Below are 19,886 nucleotides of genomic sequence, written 5' to 3'. Positions count from 1 at the left end.
GTGTGGTTAAAGTGATGGACTATGGCATCTAAGCTGATCAGGAACGCAGTCAAGATTGGAAAGGGAAGATTGCAAAAAAGTAGATCTATGGACTAGAAAACCTAAAAAAGGGTACAAAGTACACTATGAATAACTGAGTAAAAGAGGAAAGGAGGTCATGGTTACATAATAAAATATCTGAATTTATTATTTCAGAAGTAGAGCAATTCCTGGTGTTTACAAGGCACAGTGACTCTAAAATGGAGGGAGGTCATTGGAAATGTGTGGAAAGCTGCCAGATGGACAAGAAGGGAGAACAAGGCAGACAGAAGGTCTAAAATAACATGGTGTTCAAAGAAATGCAAGTAGTTTGACATTTCTAAAACCTAAGTTAAGAGGCATCAAGATGAGGATAGAGAAGGGAAGAGCCAAATCATGTATGTGATGGTAAAGAGAATAATCTTTATTTGGAATGCAATTTGCCCAGGATAAAAGCTGTCCTCAAATATCTGAATGGCTGTCATATTAAAAAAGAATTCGACCAGTTCTAGGAAATGGAAGGGTGGAAGGTACAAGGAAACAGACTAAAATAAAGGAGAACATTCTAAATGAGTAAATACATAAATAGGTTGTCTTGAAAAAAACAAAAGTAAACTCTTTATTACTAGAAGTGTTTAAGCAAAACTCAATGCTGATCAGCCTGTAATGTTATACAAAAAATCAAAAAGGGGACCTTTAAGTCCCTTCCAACTCCAAGGAGGTAATAAGAGGCAGAAAGACAACACTTACCAATTCTACACCTATTACTCCTGCACCAATAACAACCATCTTTTCTGGAACTTTTTTTAAAGATAAAGCACCTGTAGATGACACTATTGTATCTTCATCTATCTGTAAGAAAAACAAAAGATATAATCAAAATAATTTGAAAAAACCTAGTACAGTCGACCCTCCATATCCATGGGTTCCAAATTTGCAGATTTAACCAACCATTAATTGAAAATATTCAGGAAAAAAATTGATGGTTGCATCTGTACTGAACATGTACACATGGTTTTTTTGTCATTATTCCCTAAACAATACAGCATAGGAACTACTTGCATAGCATTTACAGTGTATTAGGTATTATAAGTAATCCAGAGATGACTTAAAGTATACAGGAGGAAGTATGCAGATTATATGCAAATACTATGTCATTTTATGTAAGGCACTTGAGCATCTGTGGGTTTTGGTATCCAAGGGGGGTCCTGGAACCAATCCTCCAAGGATATGAAGAGATAAATGTATTTATAAACTGTGATCTCAGTAGAATCACTAAAAATACTAAGTCATTTATTTGTTTTGAGGTATCTATATACCTAATTTCATCAAATCCCATTAAAAACACTGACTTTAAATTTTATCCACCAATATTCCAAACGCAATGGTCAATTTTAACTTCATACTGTATTCAAACATATCTTAATATAAAGTGTTCTATAGCTGGTCAGAATCACTGCAGAATAAAGACAGGTAACTTCCCAAAGCTGAATGACCATCAAAATATAGTATTTCAGTCAGAAATCTCTCAAAGTTCACAAATAGCATAAATAACTTATAAAACGTATTTCTAAAGAAAAGTTGTAATGGTTGTAAATTATGAAGCATAAATACCGTGATTCCAGGAAAAGGAGTAACTTCTGAACCCGTGGCTATAAGAATGTTCTTTGTATCAATAACCTGAGTGCCGCCATCAGCTTTCGTAGCAGTGACTTGATTTTTGCCAGTTATCTTTCCATATCCATTGACATGAACAACCTTTACAAAATAATCTTTATAAATTCACAAAGTTTAAAGTAATTTGTTTGATAAATCATTCAAAGGAAAAATTACTCTGTAAATAATTTATCTAAAACAAAATGCTTCCTTACTTAGTAATGCTACACCATGGTGCAGCAAAAAAATCTGTGATATATGTCAGGGAAATCTATTTCAGGTTAGCAAGCTATTTTAAATTAAATAAATATTCCCCTGTAACCAAGTTCAAATATCATCACTCTATAATGCAAAGTTTAATTTGTATTCAAAGTAAAGCAGAAATCTGAATATTAAACACTGACCTTATTCTGTTTGAATAAGTGGGCAATTCCACCTGTTAAAGCTTTTACTGCAGTACTCTTCTGCTCCATCATCTTGTCTAAATTCAAGCGAACTTCGGACACTGTAATTTGTTCAATTAATCTTTAGTTCTTAGCTAAATTCTTGAAGCAATATGCAGTGTTTTTCACTCACCAACTGGAAAATTTCAACCTAATGCTTATAAAAGGCAGTATTAAAGTTTCAAAATGTAATAACTTATAATTATAGTTGACAAAAGGCCAACATCATTGTATCACAGAAACAGAACCTATCAAACACTATAAAATGTCTACCTTGGGTAAAAAGGCAGTCCAAAATAAAACATTATATCCCACTGTGATAACATATCCTCTGAACACTTTACGATGGTTATAAGTCTGGAAGATATGTAAGTAGAAATGACAAAGTAAAACATCATCTGAAATTTTAAATAAAGGAAAATGCTAGATTTCATGAAACAAAACAAATAAAAAATACACGTTTAAAAATTTCAAATACAGAAGCTTAACATTAAAAAGTTTAATCACCTAGGTTTTAATCACTCATTCAACTCAGAAGAGAACTCTGAAGCAACAGTATTAGATAAAAATGCTCAACTCAATTAAACTTTAGAGGTAAGAAGGGTATCTTAGAAAGTACCTCATATAACCAACACATATATTAGAGATAAGGAAAAAGAGACTCTGAGAGATTTCTGATTTACCCAAGGTCACAGAGCTAGGATGTAAAAGCCTTGCCTACAATGCAGGTCTCCTGACTACCCCTAGCTCTTCTTTCTTTACGTCATTCCATTTTTCAACTAGTATGATATTCTATTTGCTTTAGTGCATATACATCATCTCTATACCCAATGGATTGCCTTAAGTAGCCCCTCAAACCTACCTCTGTAAAGAAACAAATGAAGGAAAAGTAACAACCCAAGGTTATGACTAGGTCCTGCCCAGAAGAGACTACCTTTCTGGAAGTATCTAACAACAACAATAATTGGAGACAAAAGATTAAAACAGCTCAAAAAGTATGTCAGGAGACAAGATACGTTATGAAATGTCCTCTTCCTTTTCCGCTATGCCTCACTCTTTCTCTCCTCTAATTTTTCTACTATCAACAGCTTAAGTGGGCCTTCCTTCCTTCCTCTATCTCCCCATAGTACTCAGGAATCCAGCCTTCTCAGTGATTTCCAGATTTTAGGAAATGAAAACTGACTCTTCAAAAACACATAAAGGCAAACCTCAGGAAAAAGTTGGCAAAGGAACAGAAGATATAATGGTAGAAATCTGGATTTGCAGGGTTAGGCTTGGTTATACTTGGCTGGGAGAAATCTGGATTTAGGCCTTCTTTTTTAAGTAAATCTCTCCACATTTTTTAGATTATTTATTTTACTCTTCCTTCACTAAACATCTATTATGCGTACGTTAGACACATTTAAGTCTTTAGACAGAAGAGCCAAGTCAAGCAGTCTGGTAATATCATTAAGCATGAAAAGTATACTTACTTTCAATTCCTCTAGATGCAAAATCTTTTCCATGGGCCATATGGTAATAATGAGAGTTGTTCAATAAAGCCTAAAGGAAATTAAAAAGATCAAATTATCAAATATTCATAAACAGACTTCAAATAATCAAAAAGCACTTATGAAATGATAGTCTTTCTTTTCATTTTTTGAGACGGAGTTTCGTTCTTATTGCCCAAGCTGGAGTGCAATGGCGCCATCTCAGCTCACCGCAACCTCCGCCTCCCGGGCTCAAGCAATTGTCCCTGGGATTACAGGCATGCATCACCACGCCTGGCTAATTTTGTATTTTTAGTAGAGATGGGGTTTCTCCATGTTGGTCAGGCTGGTCCCAAACTCCCAGCCTCAGGTGATCCACCCGCCTCGGCCTCCCAAAGTGCTGGGATTACAGACGTGAGCCACCGCGCCCGGCCGATATTCTCTTTCAAATGTTCTCATCACAAAAATGATAAGTACTGTGGTAATGAATATGTTAATTAACTTGACTAAATTATTCCACATTATAGTCATAAATCATAACACCACTTTGTATGCCATAAATATATACAATTGTAATTTGTCAATTTACAATAAAAATTTAAAAAGAAGTTAAAAAAAAGACATGGCATTCTCTACATGGAATAGTATATGGCACTACACCAATTCAGTTTCTCTTATTAATCAAAGACAAACAATAATGATGTGAAAAACATTCAACAAACAAGAATGAAAAAGACATTTTTACTTTCTTTAAAAGTAAAGGCATAAGTACACACTTCAGGGTGGCAGGTGAAAAAGGCAGTCATGTTTACATACAAAAAGGACCTAAAAGAACAATTTACTATCTATTATCTGTTACACTGGTGAAGGAAAGATAAAGAGAAAAAACTAGAACATCAGAGTCTGTTTGAATGGAAAGCTAGGCATTCTGAGACAAGGAAGTTATTTCAGGAATGTGTGGCAGACTAGTGACAGCACTCTTTAAGTTTTACAAAAGAGAAGTGTGTTTTTTATCATTCTTTTTTTTCTCTGTGTGAAATGTGCCACAACTTGGATTGTTTTTTAACAAGTGTATTTGTCTAATCTAGTCTCAATCCATCCTTCTAGTTGGTTGCTAGCCAAAAACAATCTCTGTGCTGTACAAAACACATGCTCACCTTAGAAGGAATACAACCAACATTCAAGCATGTTCCACCAAGTGTTTCATTTTTCTCAATGCAGACTGTCTACAACCAAAGAAAACATTATTTAACTGCACATAACCTCAATGTTTCAGATCACTAAAATTCCAAATATATGTCTTAATTCTTCTACAAAACAAGCTATTCGGGCTATGTTTTCACAGACTAAAATATATAGTCCTTTATAATTTATCATTTGAATAATAATAAACACTTTTGGGCTGACCCAAAAGTGAATTATTCTAAAAGATATTTTTGTGTGCTTAACATTACCAAATATATGCTTTTAGTTCTATCACTGTATCTTCCAAAGTGTGATTAGATGCCAAAATGAAAAGTACTGGGAAGAGAAGAAAACTAATAGATTTCACTTTCCATTCCAAGAGAATACTACAACCAAATGAACCTAATCTTTATTAGTCTCAGGCTTACAAGTAATTTATAGAGTTAAGGAAGTATTTACCATGTTTTTGCCTGCAAAGTACTTTATAAATATGATCAACCCTTCCCAAATTAAAATAAATCAATACTTAGTTTGAGTTCAAACCTTACCTTGAAGCCTAACTGGGCAGCTTTAATAGCAGCAACATATCCTCCAGGACCAGAACCTATAACTGTTACATCAGCATCAACTACGATAAAAGCAAATTGATATAAAATAGTAAATTGCTTAATATTTACCAAAAAGAGCTCTTTGGAAGAGCAAACAAATAACCCGATACTTAAACCTCTTACAGTACAAATCAGCATTTTCTACATAGTTTCTGCACTATTTTATTACTACTACTTGATGCTCTTTGATGCTACTGAAAAATGGCATAAATACTCAAATTTCATTTTCTATTATTTTCTATTCATTACAACATACAGAAACACAACTGAGTTCTGTAACACTCACATTGTATTCACTGACCTTCCTAAATTCTATTGATTTAATAACTGACGGAATTTAGTGATACTGGAAGACAAGTATGTATGAAGCAAAGAGCCTGAGCTTTGGAATCTGACATTCTGGGCTTCATATCTCAGCACGGCCAATGAGTAGTTGTATGAACTTGACCCAATGACTTAACCTTTCTGTAATATGGGGATGAAAACACTGCCTTCAATGATTGATGTTAGAATTAAATAAGATAATTTTATATAATGCTTTAGTATTTCCAATAAATTTAAGACCTATTACCTTTTTCAGGTCCTTAACTTCTGAAATATGAGGGAAAAAACAGCTTCTATGTAATATTTAACAAATATGTTTTGTACTTGCATATTGATAATTTTTACATACCTTAAGATAATAGGCTAACCAGAATATTCAATTAACTATTGTGGCCATTTTTCAAATAAAGATAAAAAATTGAAAATTAATTTTGATCAGTATCCTTAGGAGTTTAACAATTGTAATACAAATGTGCAAGTAAGTCCAATTACTCCCATTCTTCTCAATCCAACTTCAAATAAAGTAACAGTGACTGTTAAGAGTTAGGAAACAGTCTCCCTTTTCTTCCCCTTCCACTGTCCTGACAACCCCAACTAGTCTAGCATTTAGCAATTCATAACACATATTCACATATATTATCATGTTTGAGTCTCAGAATTTCCTATGAGGAAGATAAAGATGTCATAAATAAGACATTTCACAGAATAAACAAGAAGTTCAGAGAGGTCAATTAACTTGTCTAAGGTTAACCAGCAAGTGAGTTGCAGAGACAAACTAAGCTTTTTGACTCTACTTCCGGTGGTCTTTCCATTATTCAATACTATTCCATTCCTCAGTTTTAACCATCATAAACTAAAATTCCAGAGAGCAATAATCAAGCTTTATAATCACTACCTATGTGACCTTAGGTGAGTAATTTAACCTGCTTCATCTTTGTTTCCATACCTGGCAAAAGAAAGACCACAAAAAAAACCTACTTCATAGGGTGATAACAGAATAAAATAATGTATGTAAATAATTTAGCATAGTACCTATAGCATACATAATAAGTATTCTATACATAGTAGCTATATTCTGACCTACAAAGAAGACTATTTTAATTTGCATCACCCCCTCTCCCCAAAAACACACATCCCTAGAGTAGGATCATTCAAAAAACCTTTGCTGGCCTGAACAGAATCACAGAACCTCTGTGTTGGTGGATAACTAAGTTACTCAGCCCAATTATCCACAAAATCTAAGAATCCCTCCTGTTGAATAAATGAAAATACTAGATTCTCTTTGGTTATAGCAGATGATAATTGAGATAATACATGAAAAAATATGTATAGTCATTTCAATACATGAAAAATTGCTTCAATTTTTACTGATCCATCTGTGCTTTTTAGCCACCCTGCTTGGTTCACTGATTTCGGTTCAGAATTAAGTATCTAATAAAATGTATTTTTATTTTCAAATCTTGAACCAAATGACGATCTACACAACATCCCTTAAATGGGTTCTAATTTTTAATTTCAGAGTAATGTAAATACAAGCTACAAAACAGGTTTCTTTGCTGAATTTTTAATGTCTTTTCTGATTAAAAATTTAGGTTTACTGAATAAATTTAAATACACTAAAGCAAAATTAAAAAAAAAACAACCCATCCACATTGCCATACAGCCCAGAGAGAACTGTTTATAGGTCCTCCCAATCCTTCTTCTAGGAAAGTTTTTATAAAATTCAATTTTTGCCATATTTTATATTCTTTTCTCACTCTTACATGAGCATATATATTTATAACATATATTACTGCTATAATTCTCCAAAAACCCTTTTAATGACAATAAAACTGAATTAAATATTTTAGATTTTAAGTATATGTATTTTTGAGCATATACTTTTAATCACTGATATGTAACAATTCTTATAGTAGGTCCATGGTACTAAAATGATAAATAAATTTGGTTTGGAAAAGAACTTGTTTTAGTAAGGTCAGGAGAAGTAAACAAGAGATAAAAGATAATAGCCAAAAACCTTGGGTTTTACTTCCCTATTCACTATGTAATCTTAGGTGTTTTTTTTTAAACTTCAGAAAATACCAAAAATTCAAGAGCTCCTCTCTCACTGTACATACTAGATGTAATATTCCATTACAATACCACTAAAGTGCTAAGATGCACAAAAATGAGAAAAAAGCAGACTCTTTATGTAAAGATCTGTCAACTGAGAATACAGGAGGGTATAAGCCAGGAACAAACTTTCAAAAACAAACCAGTATTTAGGGGAAGTATACACACGTCTGCACTGATGGATAAACGAATGAGCACATATGTGGTACTGTAAGCACAGAAAATGTTAATGGAAGAAAACTATGGGTGTTCAATGTAAAATTCTTATAATTTTCTAAATGCTTATAATTTTTCATAATAAAATGTCAGAAAAACAAATCATCTACCTCTCACCTGTACCAAAGGATGCATATAAATGAAAGCTGATAACACATGATTCTGACTCACCCTCTCCTTGTCAAGAATAATTTCACAGGTTGAGTCCCATACATAAAGTTAAAAAATCAGGGCCGGGTGTGGTGGCTCACACCTGTAATCCTCAGCACTTTGGGAGGCCGAGGCAGGCGGATCACGAGGTCAGGAGATCAAGACCAAACCCCGTCTCTACTAAAAATACAAAAAAAATTAGCCGGGCGTGGTGGCAGGCACCTGTAGTCCCAGCTGCTGGGGAGGCTGAGGCAGGAGAATGGCGTGAACCCAGGAGGCAGAGCTTGCAGTGAGCCGAGATCACGCCACTGCACTCCAGCCTGGGCGACAGTGCAAGACTCTGTCTCAAAAAAAAAGTTAAAAAATCAGGATACAGGCCAGGTGTGGTGGCTCCCACCTGTAATTCCAGCACTTTGGGAGGCCGAGGCAGGTGGATCACCTGAGGTCAGGAGTTTGAGACCAGCCTGACTAACATGGTGAAACCCTGTCTCTACTAAAAATACAAAATATTGCCAGGCGTGGTGGCAAGCACCTGTAACCCCAGCTACTCGGGAGGCTGAGGCAGGAGAATCGCTTGAACCCAGGAGGGGGACGTCGCAGTGAACTGAAATCGTGTCACTGAACTACTCCAGCCTGGGCAACAAGAGCTAAACTCTGTCTCAAAAAAAAAAAAAAAAAAAAAAAAGGATACAGAAAAGTAGTTAAATGAAATACATTTATTTAAGGCAAACCTGATGGAAAAGTGGCAAATGACAGGTGAATAGCAATCTGTGTTTCAGTGAAGTGATTCAAACAAGGTCCTTTAGATTCTGAAATGTGTGCTCCTACCAGGTTTAAAGTATCAGGTTGATACTTTAAAAATACTGGAGTACAATAAGAGGTGACTGACTTAAACAAGGCAATTAATGTTATTAAAATTAACTCAAAGAAAAAAGTCAAGAAAAGTACTCTACAAATTCCTACAAGTGTTACATATTAGATCATTATAAGGAAAATAAGGCACCTGGTTATCCAGGCTACCACTGAAATAAAGGTATTGTGTTACAAATCAATTGTAATCATCAATATAATTACAAGATGTATCTCAAGAAGTCAGTCTGTGTAATCCCAGCACTTTGGGAGGCCAATGCGGGTGGATCACTTGAGGTCAGGAGTTCAAGACCAGCCAGGCCAACATGGTGAAACCCTATCTCTACTAAAAATACAAAAATTAGCTGGGCATAGTGGTGCGTGCCTGTAGTCCCAGCTACTCAGGAGGCTGAGGCATGAGAATCTCCTGAACCCGGGAGGTGGAAGTTGCAGTGAACCAAGATCGCACCATTGCACCCCAGCTTGCATGATAGAGTGAGACCAAGTTTCAAAAAAAAAAAAAAAAAAAAAAGTCAGTCTACAATAATACCTACCACTTGGGTAGCTTAAAATGTGCCAGTTAGTGAGCCAGTCACGTGTACTGTCTTATGTAAGCCTCATTACATTTCTATGACATAGTTTAATACTACCATTAACAGAGGAAGAAAAGGTTGAAAACAACTAAATAATTTGCATAAGGCTACACAACTAGTAAGTAATCTAGCCAGGATTCAAACAAGGTCCTCTAGATTCTGAAATGTGTGCTCCTATATACCATTATGTTCTATTGCCTTCCAAAACACTCAGATGATCCCATAATCTCCAGGACAATCAAGAACTTCAACTAAAATGACAAGAATATGCTTTACAGAATGAAATCAAATATTTATGACTCATCAGTACCTTCAATAACCTTAAAACACAGTGAGAAAAAAGAGGCACATGTCAAAATAAAGGTAAAATCAGATTTTTGGCCAGGCGCGGTGGCTCATGCCTGTAATTCCAACACTTTGGGAGGCCGAGGTGGGTGGATCCCCTGAGGTCAGGAGTTCGAGACCAGCATGGCCAACATGGTGAAACCCCATCTCTACTAAAAATACAAAAATTAGCCGGGCTGGTGGCAGGCACCTGTAATCCCAGCTACTCGGGAGGCTGAGGCAGGAGAATCACTTGAACCCGGGAGGTGGAGTTGCAGTGAGCCAAGATCACGCCACTGCACTCCAGCCTAGGGGACAAGAGCGAGACTTTGTCTCAAAAAAAAAAACAAACAAAAACAAAACCAGATTTTTAAAAAGAAAAAACGAACAGGAAAAGAGATGTCATAAGGCAATAATCATTAATTACCAAATTTACTGAATGTAAGAACTACTTGATAAGGTTTATTTGTTGACATTTTGTTGAGGGGTAAGGGAAGTTGTTTTTACATTGTCAATGGCCTTAATATCCAGTCTTTTTCAGTAACCTCCTCCCATAGTTAACACTCTATACTTGTTATCACCCAAAACTGTTCAGCCTCTGAAATCAATACTCTACTTTCTAGTCATAACCTCCTGGTCCCTAAAGAAGAAATATAGTAAAATAAGAAATGATCTGAAGTAAAACAGACCTGGGTTCCAAACTCTAACCCCGTTAAGTTCTTGGGCAAATTACTCAATCTCTCTGGGCTTTGATACAACATGGGGGTAATAGTAAGGATGACACCTGCAGCCTAGGGTTGTGAGGATCAGAGAGTACGCATGTTAAGATCCTAAGGAGGTGCTAGGTGCATACTAGCAACTCAGTGTCACTCCCCTTCTCAGATCCACCTCCAAACTTCAGTCCAGCAGCCTCTAGCCTCATTCACATCCTCCATTTTAGCCTACCCAGTGCTACCGCAAAGCTAAAACCCAACTCAGATGTTATTCTCTCTGTTGTTACGCTCTGTTGGTTCTCCAGTGTCTTGTTAGATAAAGCCCATGTTCCTAAGTACAGCATCCAAATTCCTTCAGTAACTATTTCTCCAGCCTCATCTCCTACCACGTTCTGTTTACTCACCAATACCATGCAGTTTAAGCTTCAGTAACGGTGAATTACTACTCTTAGCCTACATGCATAGAATTATGCTGGTCTACCTATGTACGATCTGTTCCATCTACCTAGAAATAAACACTAACAGCAGGCATTTCACATTACAAACACTACTTTAGGCTCTTGGAGGGGTGTGTCTGCACATGCTGTGTCTGTGTGTGTGTATATATAAATGACATAGCCCTATTTCTTACAGTCTAAATAAAAAAAAGAATTACAGTAAAAGGTCCAACCTGTAACGAGAGTTACTCTCAACCTTTTTAGCTATCAACATAATTCCTTAGGAAAGAATTATGTGACCATTCCCAATCCATATATAGATGTCATTACTCCCTATGCTTAAGTCTATGGACCCCTGTCACAATTATATGTTGGATGTTTGTCTCCCTCAACTGAATTGTAAGCTCTATAAAAGCTGGGTCTTGTCCGTCTTGCTCACTGCGGTACTCCAGTAGTTAGCCCAATGACTAACACATAGTAGATATTAGTATTTGTCGAAATAATAAAAGAATGAATGAATGTAGTGAATGTGAGTGATATAAGTGCTGTAAGTTTAAGTGTTACAAGTTTGATTAAGTGCTGTCATGAAATAAAACGTCACATCAACAGTAACACACACAACTTTGCAAATTCTGATGAACCTGGTTCATAAGGCTATTCAGACATCTCTCAGATGTTGTAACCAAGACTATATCATAATAAGATTTGAACTCCTCAGGAGAGTCAATCAATACTCATGTAAGGAAGAAAACTCAATAAAACATTAACAGTGTAGGCTCTGAAGTCAAAAGGATTCTCCCAGCTCTGTCATTTCCTAGTTAAAAAACCTAACTCTTCCATCTATAAAATGGGGAGAACAGCAGCACACAGGTAGTAGAAAGGCCATGAGGATTAAATCTGTGCCTGAGACAGAGTGAAGCCCTCAATGCATCAGTTAATATTATTGCTGTTGTAGCTGGTTACTTACTTTGTACAAGACACCATACTGGATGCTTTGCCACAGAGCAGTAATTAAAACAGACCAGGCCCCAGTGTTCATTCATTCAATAAATATGTACTGATTACCTACTGTATCACTTTAGATACTAAACAAAACAGTCACACACAGTCCCTGTCCTGATGAAGTTTGCATTCCTGAGGAAAAGACAGTAAGCATGTACCTCAGATAAAATACAAGTATGTGTGTAAAATGCTTGTTACTGCATCCACTCAAAGCTTTTACACACTTTACACACATGGGTACTAAGTGATTTATGATTTACTCAATGTCAAGGGATCACCAAACTGATTATGGAACACTCAGCCTCATTCCACTAAAATCTAAGTTCTGGCTCAGGGTCTGCCTGGCAAATAGAAGGCACTGAATAATCTCTGCTGAGTGATGCCAAAGGTATAGAGTTAGCCATGAAAAATATCCTTTAGAAATGAAAATCTAACATTTCTCCTGTTATATGAGTTGAGAAGAATGAGATTCCTATTTAACAAGAGACAAAGTGTATAAGAGGTCCAACTTTTCCCTTCATCATCATATTAGCATTTTTTTAAAAGGATTTCTTGACCTGTTCAAAGCTAGAATAAATCACTCACTCACTGTTAGTCATGGGTTACTAGAATCCTCCCCCTACCCTTCCTCTAGAAATAAAATATCCAAAATGATAATGGTTGGATAACAGTTGAGGATACAGGATTAAATTACTTCACAGAATGCAGGGAGACTGATAGTCACAGTTTGCCCAGATAATGATTTCTATAACTGAAGCTTTAAGACATCCAATGTTACTTATAATCCATATGGGTGAATTCAGTAAATGTCAAAACAGTACATTGCAAATAATCAATATCCTTGGTACTGACAGGTCAAAATACTTCAATATAATCCTATTAACTTTCTGTTTTAAATACTTAAAAAAATAAAATGCATATCCTTTATGGGAACTTCAAAAATATAAAAAAAGTACACAGGAGAAAATTCCATGACCCATAGCTTCCTTTTAGATCCTGCTAATCTTTAAAACATGCTTTTGATAAACCCATGAAGACTTTCATTCAGGATGTCAAGAAAGTCATCTCATCATTCTAAACAGTGTTAAAATAACCAATACAACCTTACTCAACGGACAAAATTAACTTTTTAAATGTAAACATATGAAATTGCTGCCCTGCTCAAAACCTTTGTTTCCCATCATACTTGGAGTATAATCCAAACTACTAGACCTGCCTTACAAGGCACTCCATGATCTGTCTCCTGCCTACCTCTCCGACTTTACATTGCATGGGTTTCTGCTCCAGTCATACCAGCCTTCTTATTACTCCTTAAACTTCACAAGCTAAGTCCCACCTCAGGCCTTTCTCAGTGTTGTTTCCCTCTGCCTGAAGTAACCTCACTCCCCCACTTCACTCAGGACCCTGCCCAGACATCATCTCCTCAGAAAGGCCTTTCCTGACACTGTATCTAAAATTATCTCTCTTCCTCCCTATTACCTGCTTTAATTTTCAGTTACTTCCCAAAATATTTATCCATTACTTATATATTGTTTGTCTTTTATCACCAAATTACAAGTTTCATAAGAGCAGGGTTTTTTTACCTTGTTCACCGCCTGGAACACACTAGCTCAATATACATTCAAACGAATAAATACATGAACAAATGAACTATAAGACACTTAACATAAGTTATTCCAATATTCACTTGCTTTTACATTGAAATAGAAAGGAACTGTCAGCTAATGTGATGAAAAAAATGTTTTACTTAAGTACTTACTCGGCTGATCTGCGTAAGTTCTCAGAGGCACTGCAGAAAGTCCCTGTAGGCCATGAGATATTCGATTGAAATGGCCTCTCTAGAAAAAGAAAATGTCCCTATTATGTAAGATATGAATTCAAAACATAGAACTACTGAAGGTTGATGATAACAGAACAATTTTGGGCAAACGTATCAAGCGAGGATTATTAGTGTATCTTCTTCCATTGCCACACAGAAGCTACAGATCAATATCCCCTCTTTGACAATAACTAATCATTTAAATTTTTCAGCCTCAGCTTGCCACACCCATCTTTTTATTATCAATAGTCAACAAATCATCTCATATTTAACTTAATTTTAAAAACGTATTCAATGGTATTTTTATTCAATTTTCAGAAAACATGGCTAATTATTAGTGCCAGGGATCATTTTAATGTCATAAAGCTCTGAGCCGGCCGTGGTGGCTCACGCCTGTAATGCCAACACTTTGGGAGGCTGAGGTGGGCGGATCACCTGAGGTCAGGAGTTCGAGACCAGCCTGGCCAACATAGTGAAGCCCCGACTCTACTAAAAATACAAGAAAATTAGCCGGGTGTAGTGGTGGGTGCCTGTAATCCCAGCTACTCGGGAGGCCAAGGCAGGAGAATCACTTGAACCCGGGAGGCGGAAGTTGCAGTCAGCTGAGATAGTGCCATTGCACTCTAGCCTGGATGTCAGAGTGAGACTCCGTCTCAAAATAAATAAATAAATAAATAAATAAATAAAGCTCTGAAAGTTCTAACTTAAATACTTGAATAATCTATACATGATAATCTTTTTACCTGTAATTTTTGTTTCCTAACTCTAAGCTAGCGTGTATATACAGTCCGTATTTACTTAGAACAATCTATGAAGATGTTCCTGAGACATCAACTAGGAATAGCAAATTAGACAAGGTAACTTAGGAAAATGCACCAAGTAATGTACTTACGTTCTGGTGCTACTACAGTTTGACAAATTGCATCATAATCTCCCTAATCTCTATATGTGGACGGCTACCATTTCCTAAGGGCAATGAGGCAGAAAGCAAGCAAGCAAATAACCCCTGCTCACAGCAGGAAAATGGGCGGCAGTGACAAAACCTACACTGATGTTTCCTATTCCAAGGCAACTCTTAACATTTGAGGTCAGGACAGCAAACCCAAAAAGCAGCAGATTGACAATCCTGAGTTTCAGTCCCACCTCCGCCGCTCCCTAAAAGCATGACTTGCAGAATGTTACATTAACTTTTGAGAACTCAGGTTCCTCATCTCTGAAACAAAAGGGTTTGATCGCTATATTATTTTTAAGGTCTCCACTAACATAGTACCCAGCCACGGTGCCACATACACACAATTTGGCTGTATCTGGTAAGCAGATTAAAAAGGAGAGTTGTTCTGATAACCTGCTGCAATTAAAGATTTAAGCCTCCAGGAAGTCGTGAGAGATGGCAATGAACACCAGTTGAAAGCTGCCAACACTGACAAGACCTTAGGGGAATTCCGAGGGCTATCTGTTGGAGCTGACTGGATCTAAACCATTCAAGAAGTGACCCCAGGGTTACCTGCCCACTGCATAAACTTAGGCCACTCAGGGATCAGAATTAGGATGAGAAAAAGGCAAATGGTATAAAAAGCCAGACTATACGGGACATGGGTGGCTTACACTTCCTCCAAGGTAGAGGCCTATGTGTGACCGGGATGGCCCTCGGCCCAGGCTTGGGGGTGTGGCATGTGTGACCGCCGGCCGTCACACAACCCGAAAGGACTCGCCACAGCCTGGGCCCAGCCCCGTCCCTCGCCTGCTGCAGGATGAGCGGCCACCTCGGAGCCCAGGGCCGGGCTGAGCCAGTGCAGAGGCGGGGCCAGGGGTGGTGCGGCCCAGGCGCCCGCCTCCGCCAGCCCAACACGGTTAAGCCGCGTACCGGACCCACTGAGCGGGACCTTCCGTGCCTCTGGCTCAACACGACCTCACCTACTCGGCCCTCACCTTGGCCAAGGAGCAGTACACACGACTCCAGCTCTGCATTTTTCCGCTGTATTTTCCTTTCCGCCAATACTTTCACCTCCGCTGGGCGCCTCCGCCGCTCCGCCAAGGTCTCCCCTCCCTGCGCATGCACAGGCGCAGCCTACGTCATCACCCGGGAGCAGCGCGATTGGCCCGCGCGGTTCTACCGCACGAGGCGTTCCTGTCAGGCTCGGCGTCGTACGCTGTCGTAAGGAGCGCAGGGCTTTGTCGCAGCGGGGGTGGTGGTGGGAATGCTTTAGGGGCTGGTGCCAAAATGTCGAGCTACAATGTATTCTTATACTTAGAAGATGAAATAAACAAATAAAACTAGCGTTTGCTTAATGCACATTATCGACAGTAAAGCGTGACAAGTTCAACAAGCTCTTGGTTGTGCTAGGCATTCCTCGGCACTTCCTACAGACATCTCATTTCATCCTTGCAACAACCATATGGAGTATTATTAGTATTTCCATTTCTTGGATGAGACCCAGAGAGGTTAAACAGTGCCCCCAAGGTCTCACAAAGGAGAGATAACTGCGGCCCTGAGGCCAAAACCTTTGGTATTATCTACTGCTTTATACTCGCTCCTCTCAAATGCCATATAAGGGATGGGGCTACAGATTTTGGCATCACCAGCATTCTGCTCTAATTAGCTAACTGACAATACGTAGAGAACACACTTTCTTCTATTTCTTTAGTTGAGAAACACATCTCCCTGGTAAAAAGAGAGTGGGATGGTGGATGAGATTTTAGGTTTTGAGAGAGAATCTGTTGAAAAGGGTTGAAAAACATTGTCTTCAAGATTGAGCACGAAAGTCTAAGGTCTCATTCTTGCCTTGCAATAAGTCTATATAGTGTGAATAAACTTAATTCTACATTTATTGGAAGTCTACCACCCAGGCCTTGTGCTGGGCTAAACACTGGTTAGAAATTACTGCCTATGTTCAGATTTAGATATGAATAATTAAATTTAGTGTTTGTTATAGAGACGGTATTGCTGGCAGCTCTGTCCTGTGACAGGGTCCCAGGCTCCTTTTATCTCGTGACTCTGCCATCATCAGAGCTTGCCTTGCATCTTTCATTCAAGATGGCTGCTCCAGTTTCTACAATCATATCCCCTCATTCCATCTGATTACAAAGCCACACCTAGCTGCAAGGGGATCTGTGAAACATAGTCCTGTCAGCTGAGTGCCTAACTGAAATTGTATTAATAAGCAAGATGAGATGAAGCGAAATTGGGGGACATTGAGCAGCCTCCACCACACAGATGGGGAGAATTGTCTCCTCTCCAGCTTCATGGCAGTCTTTGACATCTGGTCTAGGAGTTACTGCTCCATATGCACAAAATCTCACAATTCTTTCCTGAACTTTCTTGGGCTTTGTTCCCTACTCCTTTGTCCAAAATTACAATATCATATTTTTATTTTTAAAAAATGAAACACTTCCATCCTTTCCAGCTGTCATTCACAAAGCCTAGGGGCTCAACCCAGTATGAGAAGTGAGGCAGGAAATAGATTCCTTACTGCACTCACCATATTTCTCCACATTCCTCCTCATCTCTTGTACCAACTATACCTCTTCTCCTCTCAGCTAGAACAAAAGCCACAACGCATATAAATTAATGCGAACACACGGGAGGTGGAGGGAGCGATGTCAACAATGGACAGCCCACACTAGCAGTGTTTATATTCCAGCTAAGGAATATAACCAGAAATTGGACCACACTTATTTTGCTAACTTGATTTTTTTCACTTAAAACTATCTCATGAGCAACTTTCCATATTCATATTGTGTCCAGAATTGGTGGGTTCTTGGTCTCACTGACTTCAAGAATGAAGCTGCGGACCCTCGCAGTGAGTGTTACAGTTCTTAAAGGCGGCGTGTCCGGAGTTTGTTCCTTCTGACGTTTGGATGTGTTCGGACTTTCTTCCTTCTGGTGGGTTCGTGGTCTCGCTAGATCAGGAGTGAAGCTGCAGACCTTTGCGGTGAGCGTTACAGCTCTTAAGGCAGCGCGTCTGGAGTTGTTCATTCCTCCTGGTGGGTTTGTGGTCTCACTGGCTTCAGGAGTGAAGCTGCAAACCTTCGCTGTGTTACAGCTCATAAAGGCAGTGTGGACCCAAAGAGTGAGCAGCAGCAAGATTTATTGCAAAGAGTGAAAGAACAAAGCTTCCACGCTGTGGAACGGGACCCAAGCGGGTTGCCACTGCTGGCTCAGGCAGCCTGCTTTTATTATCTGGCCCCACCCACATTCTGCTGATTGGTCCATTTTACAGAGAGCTGATTGGTCTGTTTTACAGAGAGCTGATTGGTCCATTTTGACAGGGTGCTGATTGGTGCGTTTACAATGGCTGAGCTAGACACAAAAGTTCTCCAAGTCCCCGCTAGATTAGCTAGATACAGAGTGTCGATTGGTGTATTTTCAAACTCTGAGCTAGACACAGAGTGCTGATTGGTGCATTTACAAACCTTGAGCTAGATACAGAGTGACGATTGGTGCATTCACAATCCCTTAGCTAGACGTAAAGATTCTCCAATTCCCCACCAGATTAGCTAGACACAGAGTGCTAATTGGTGCATTTACAAACCTTGAGCTAGACACAGAGTGCCGATTGGTGCATTCACAATCCCTTAGCTAGACATAAAGATTCTCCAAGTCCCCACCAGATTAGCTAGATAAAGAGTGCCGATTGGTGCATCCACAAACCCTGAGCTACACACAGGGTGCTGATTGGTGTGTTTACAAACCTTGAGCTAGATACAGAGTGCCGATTGGTGTATTCACAATCCCTTAGCTAGACATAAAGATTCCCCAAGTCCCCGCCACATTAGCTAGATACAGAGTGCCAATTGGTGCATCCACAAACCCTGAGCTAGACACAGGGTGCTGATTGGTGTGTTCACAAGCCTTGAGCAAGACACAGAGTGCTGATTGGTGCACTCACAATCCCTTAGCTAGACACAAAGGTTCTCCAAGTCCCCACTAGACTCAGGAGCCCAGCTGGCTTCACCCAGTGGATCCTGCGCTGGGGCGGCAGGCGGAGCTGCCCGCCAGTCCCGCTGTGTGCCCGCACTCCTCAGCCCTTGGGCGCCAGTGGGCCAGCACTGCTGGGGGACCTGGCGCACCCTCTGCAGCTGCTGGCCTGGGTGCTAAGCCCCTCACTGCCCGGGGCAAGTGGGGCCGGCCAGCCGCTGCGAGTGCAGGGCCCACCAAGCCCACGCCCACCCGGAACTCTAGCTGGCCCGCAAGCGCTGCACGAAGCCCCAGTTCCCACCCGCGCCTCTCCCTCCACACCTCCCCGCAAGCAGAGGGAGCCGGCTCCAGCCTTGGCCAGCCCAGAAAGGGACTCCCACAGTGCAGCAGCAGGCTGAAGGGCTCCTCAAGCGTGGCCAGAGTGGGCACCAAGGCCGAGGGGGCGCCGAGAGGGAGCCAGGGCTGCAAGGGCTGCCAGCACGCTGTCACCTCTCAATATTAGCCTACTTCTAATGACTACTGAGTATTTTGGGACATACCCTAATTTATTCAACTATATTTTATTATTAGATATGTAAGCCATTACCAATTTTTCAATATCGTGATTAGCTTATCACTAAGTCTTTGCACACATTCTTTATCATTTCCTTGCAGTAAATTCCCAGAAGTGGAATTGCTAGGTCAAAGACAAAGCATATTTTAAAGATTTATATTGTCTCTCACTTATTTTATTTTATTTTATTTTTTGACGGAACCTTGCTCTGTCACCAAGCTGGAGTGCAGTGGCTCGATCTCAGCTCACTGCAACCTCTGCCTCCCAGGTTCAAGTGATTCACCTGCCTCAGCCTCCCAAGTAGCTGGGATTACAGGTGCCCGCCACCACGCCTGGCTAATTTTTGTATTTTAGTAGAGACAGGGTTTCACCATGTTGGCCAGGATGGTCTCCATCTCCTGACCTCGTGATCCACCCGCCTCGGCCTCCGAAAGTGCTGGGATTACAGGTGTGAGCCACCGCACCCAGCCCACTTATTTTAATTCTTAACAGTGGTT

General features: G+C 39.4%; 1 protein-coding gene across 4 annotated transcripts in view, besides 5 other annotated features; it reads right to left on the bottom strand.

Annotated features, from left to right (window-relative positions):
* Window positions 1-16,030, bottom strand: part of DLD (dihydrolipoamide dehydrogenase) — a 30,092-nt gene extending 14,062 nt beyond the window's left edge. Inside the window, exons 1-8 of one of the 4 annotated variants that reach the window (NM_000108.5) lie at window positions 15,848-15,954; window positions 13,859-13,937; window positions 5,320-5,399; window positions 4,744-4,812; window positions 3,590-3,659; window positions 2,079-2,179; window positions 1,633-1,776; window positions 769-870 (exon numbers count right to left, since the gene is read on the bottom strand). In NM_000108.5, coding sequence (NP_000099.2) covers window positions 769-870; window positions 1,633-1,776; window positions 2,079-2,179; window positions 3,590-3,659; window positions 4,744-4,812; window positions 5,320-5,399; window positions 13,859-13,937; window positions 15,848-15,886 — 684 coding nt within the window. In that variant the 5' untranslated portion in view covers window positions 15,887-15,954. Of the gene's footprint in view, window positions 1-768; window positions 871-1,632; window positions 1,777-2,078; window positions 2,180-3,589; window positions 3,660-4,743; window positions 4,813-5,319; window positions 5,400-13,858; window positions 13,938-15,847 lie in introns of all 4 variants that reach the window. The other 3 variants (NM_001289752.1, NM_001289751.1, NM_001289750.1) reach the window with 3 other exon arrangements.
* Window positions 15,534-16,216: an enhancer, noted in NCBI's record as "H3K27ac hESC enhancer chr7:107531366-107532048 (GRCh37/hg19 assembly coordinates)". NCBI's record gives its function as "activates a minimal SCP1, AML or CMV promoter by ChIP-STARR-seq in naive H9 embryonic stem cells {active_cell/tissue: H9 hESC(naive)}" and the evidence as "EXISTENCE:reporter gene assay evidence [ECO:0000049][PMID:30033119]".
* Window positions 15,534-16,253: a biological region, named in NCBI's record as "H3K27ac hESC enhancer GRCh37_chr7:107531366-107532048".
* Window positions 15,614-15,723: a silencer, noted in NCBI's record as "silent region_18542". NCBI's record gives its function as "represses an Ori minimal core promoter by ATAC-STARR-seq in GM12878 lymphoblastoid cells {active_cell/tissue: GM12878}" and the evidence as "EXISTENCE:reporter gene assay evidence [ECO:0000049][PMID:35858748]".
* Window positions 15,784-16,023: an enhancer, noted in NCBI's record as "active region_26498". NCBI's record gives its function as "activates an Ori minimal core promoter by ATAC-STARR-seq in GM12878 lymphoblastoid cells {active_cell/tissue: GM12878}" and the evidence as "EXISTENCE:reporter gene assay evidence [ECO:0000049][PMID:35858748]".
* Window positions 16,174-16,253: an enhancer, noted in NCBI's record as "active region_26497". NCBI's record gives its function as "activates an Ori minimal core promoter by ATAC-STARR-seq in GM12878 lymphoblastoid cells {active_cell/tissue: GM12878}" and the evidence as "EXISTENCE:reporter gene assay evidence [ECO:0000049][PMID:35858748]".

The sequence above is a fragment of the Homo sapiens genome, chromosome 7, assembly GCF_000001405.40.
Source record: "Homo sapiens chromosome 7, GRCh38.p14 Primary Assembly".
In the NCBI taxonomy this organism is placed as follows: Eukaryota; Metazoa; Chordata; class Mammalia; order Primates; family Hominidae; genus Homo; species Homo sapiens.
The sequence above is the reverse complement of the archived record's forward strand: the minus strand, read 5'-3'. Positions and strand labels throughout refer to the sequence as shown.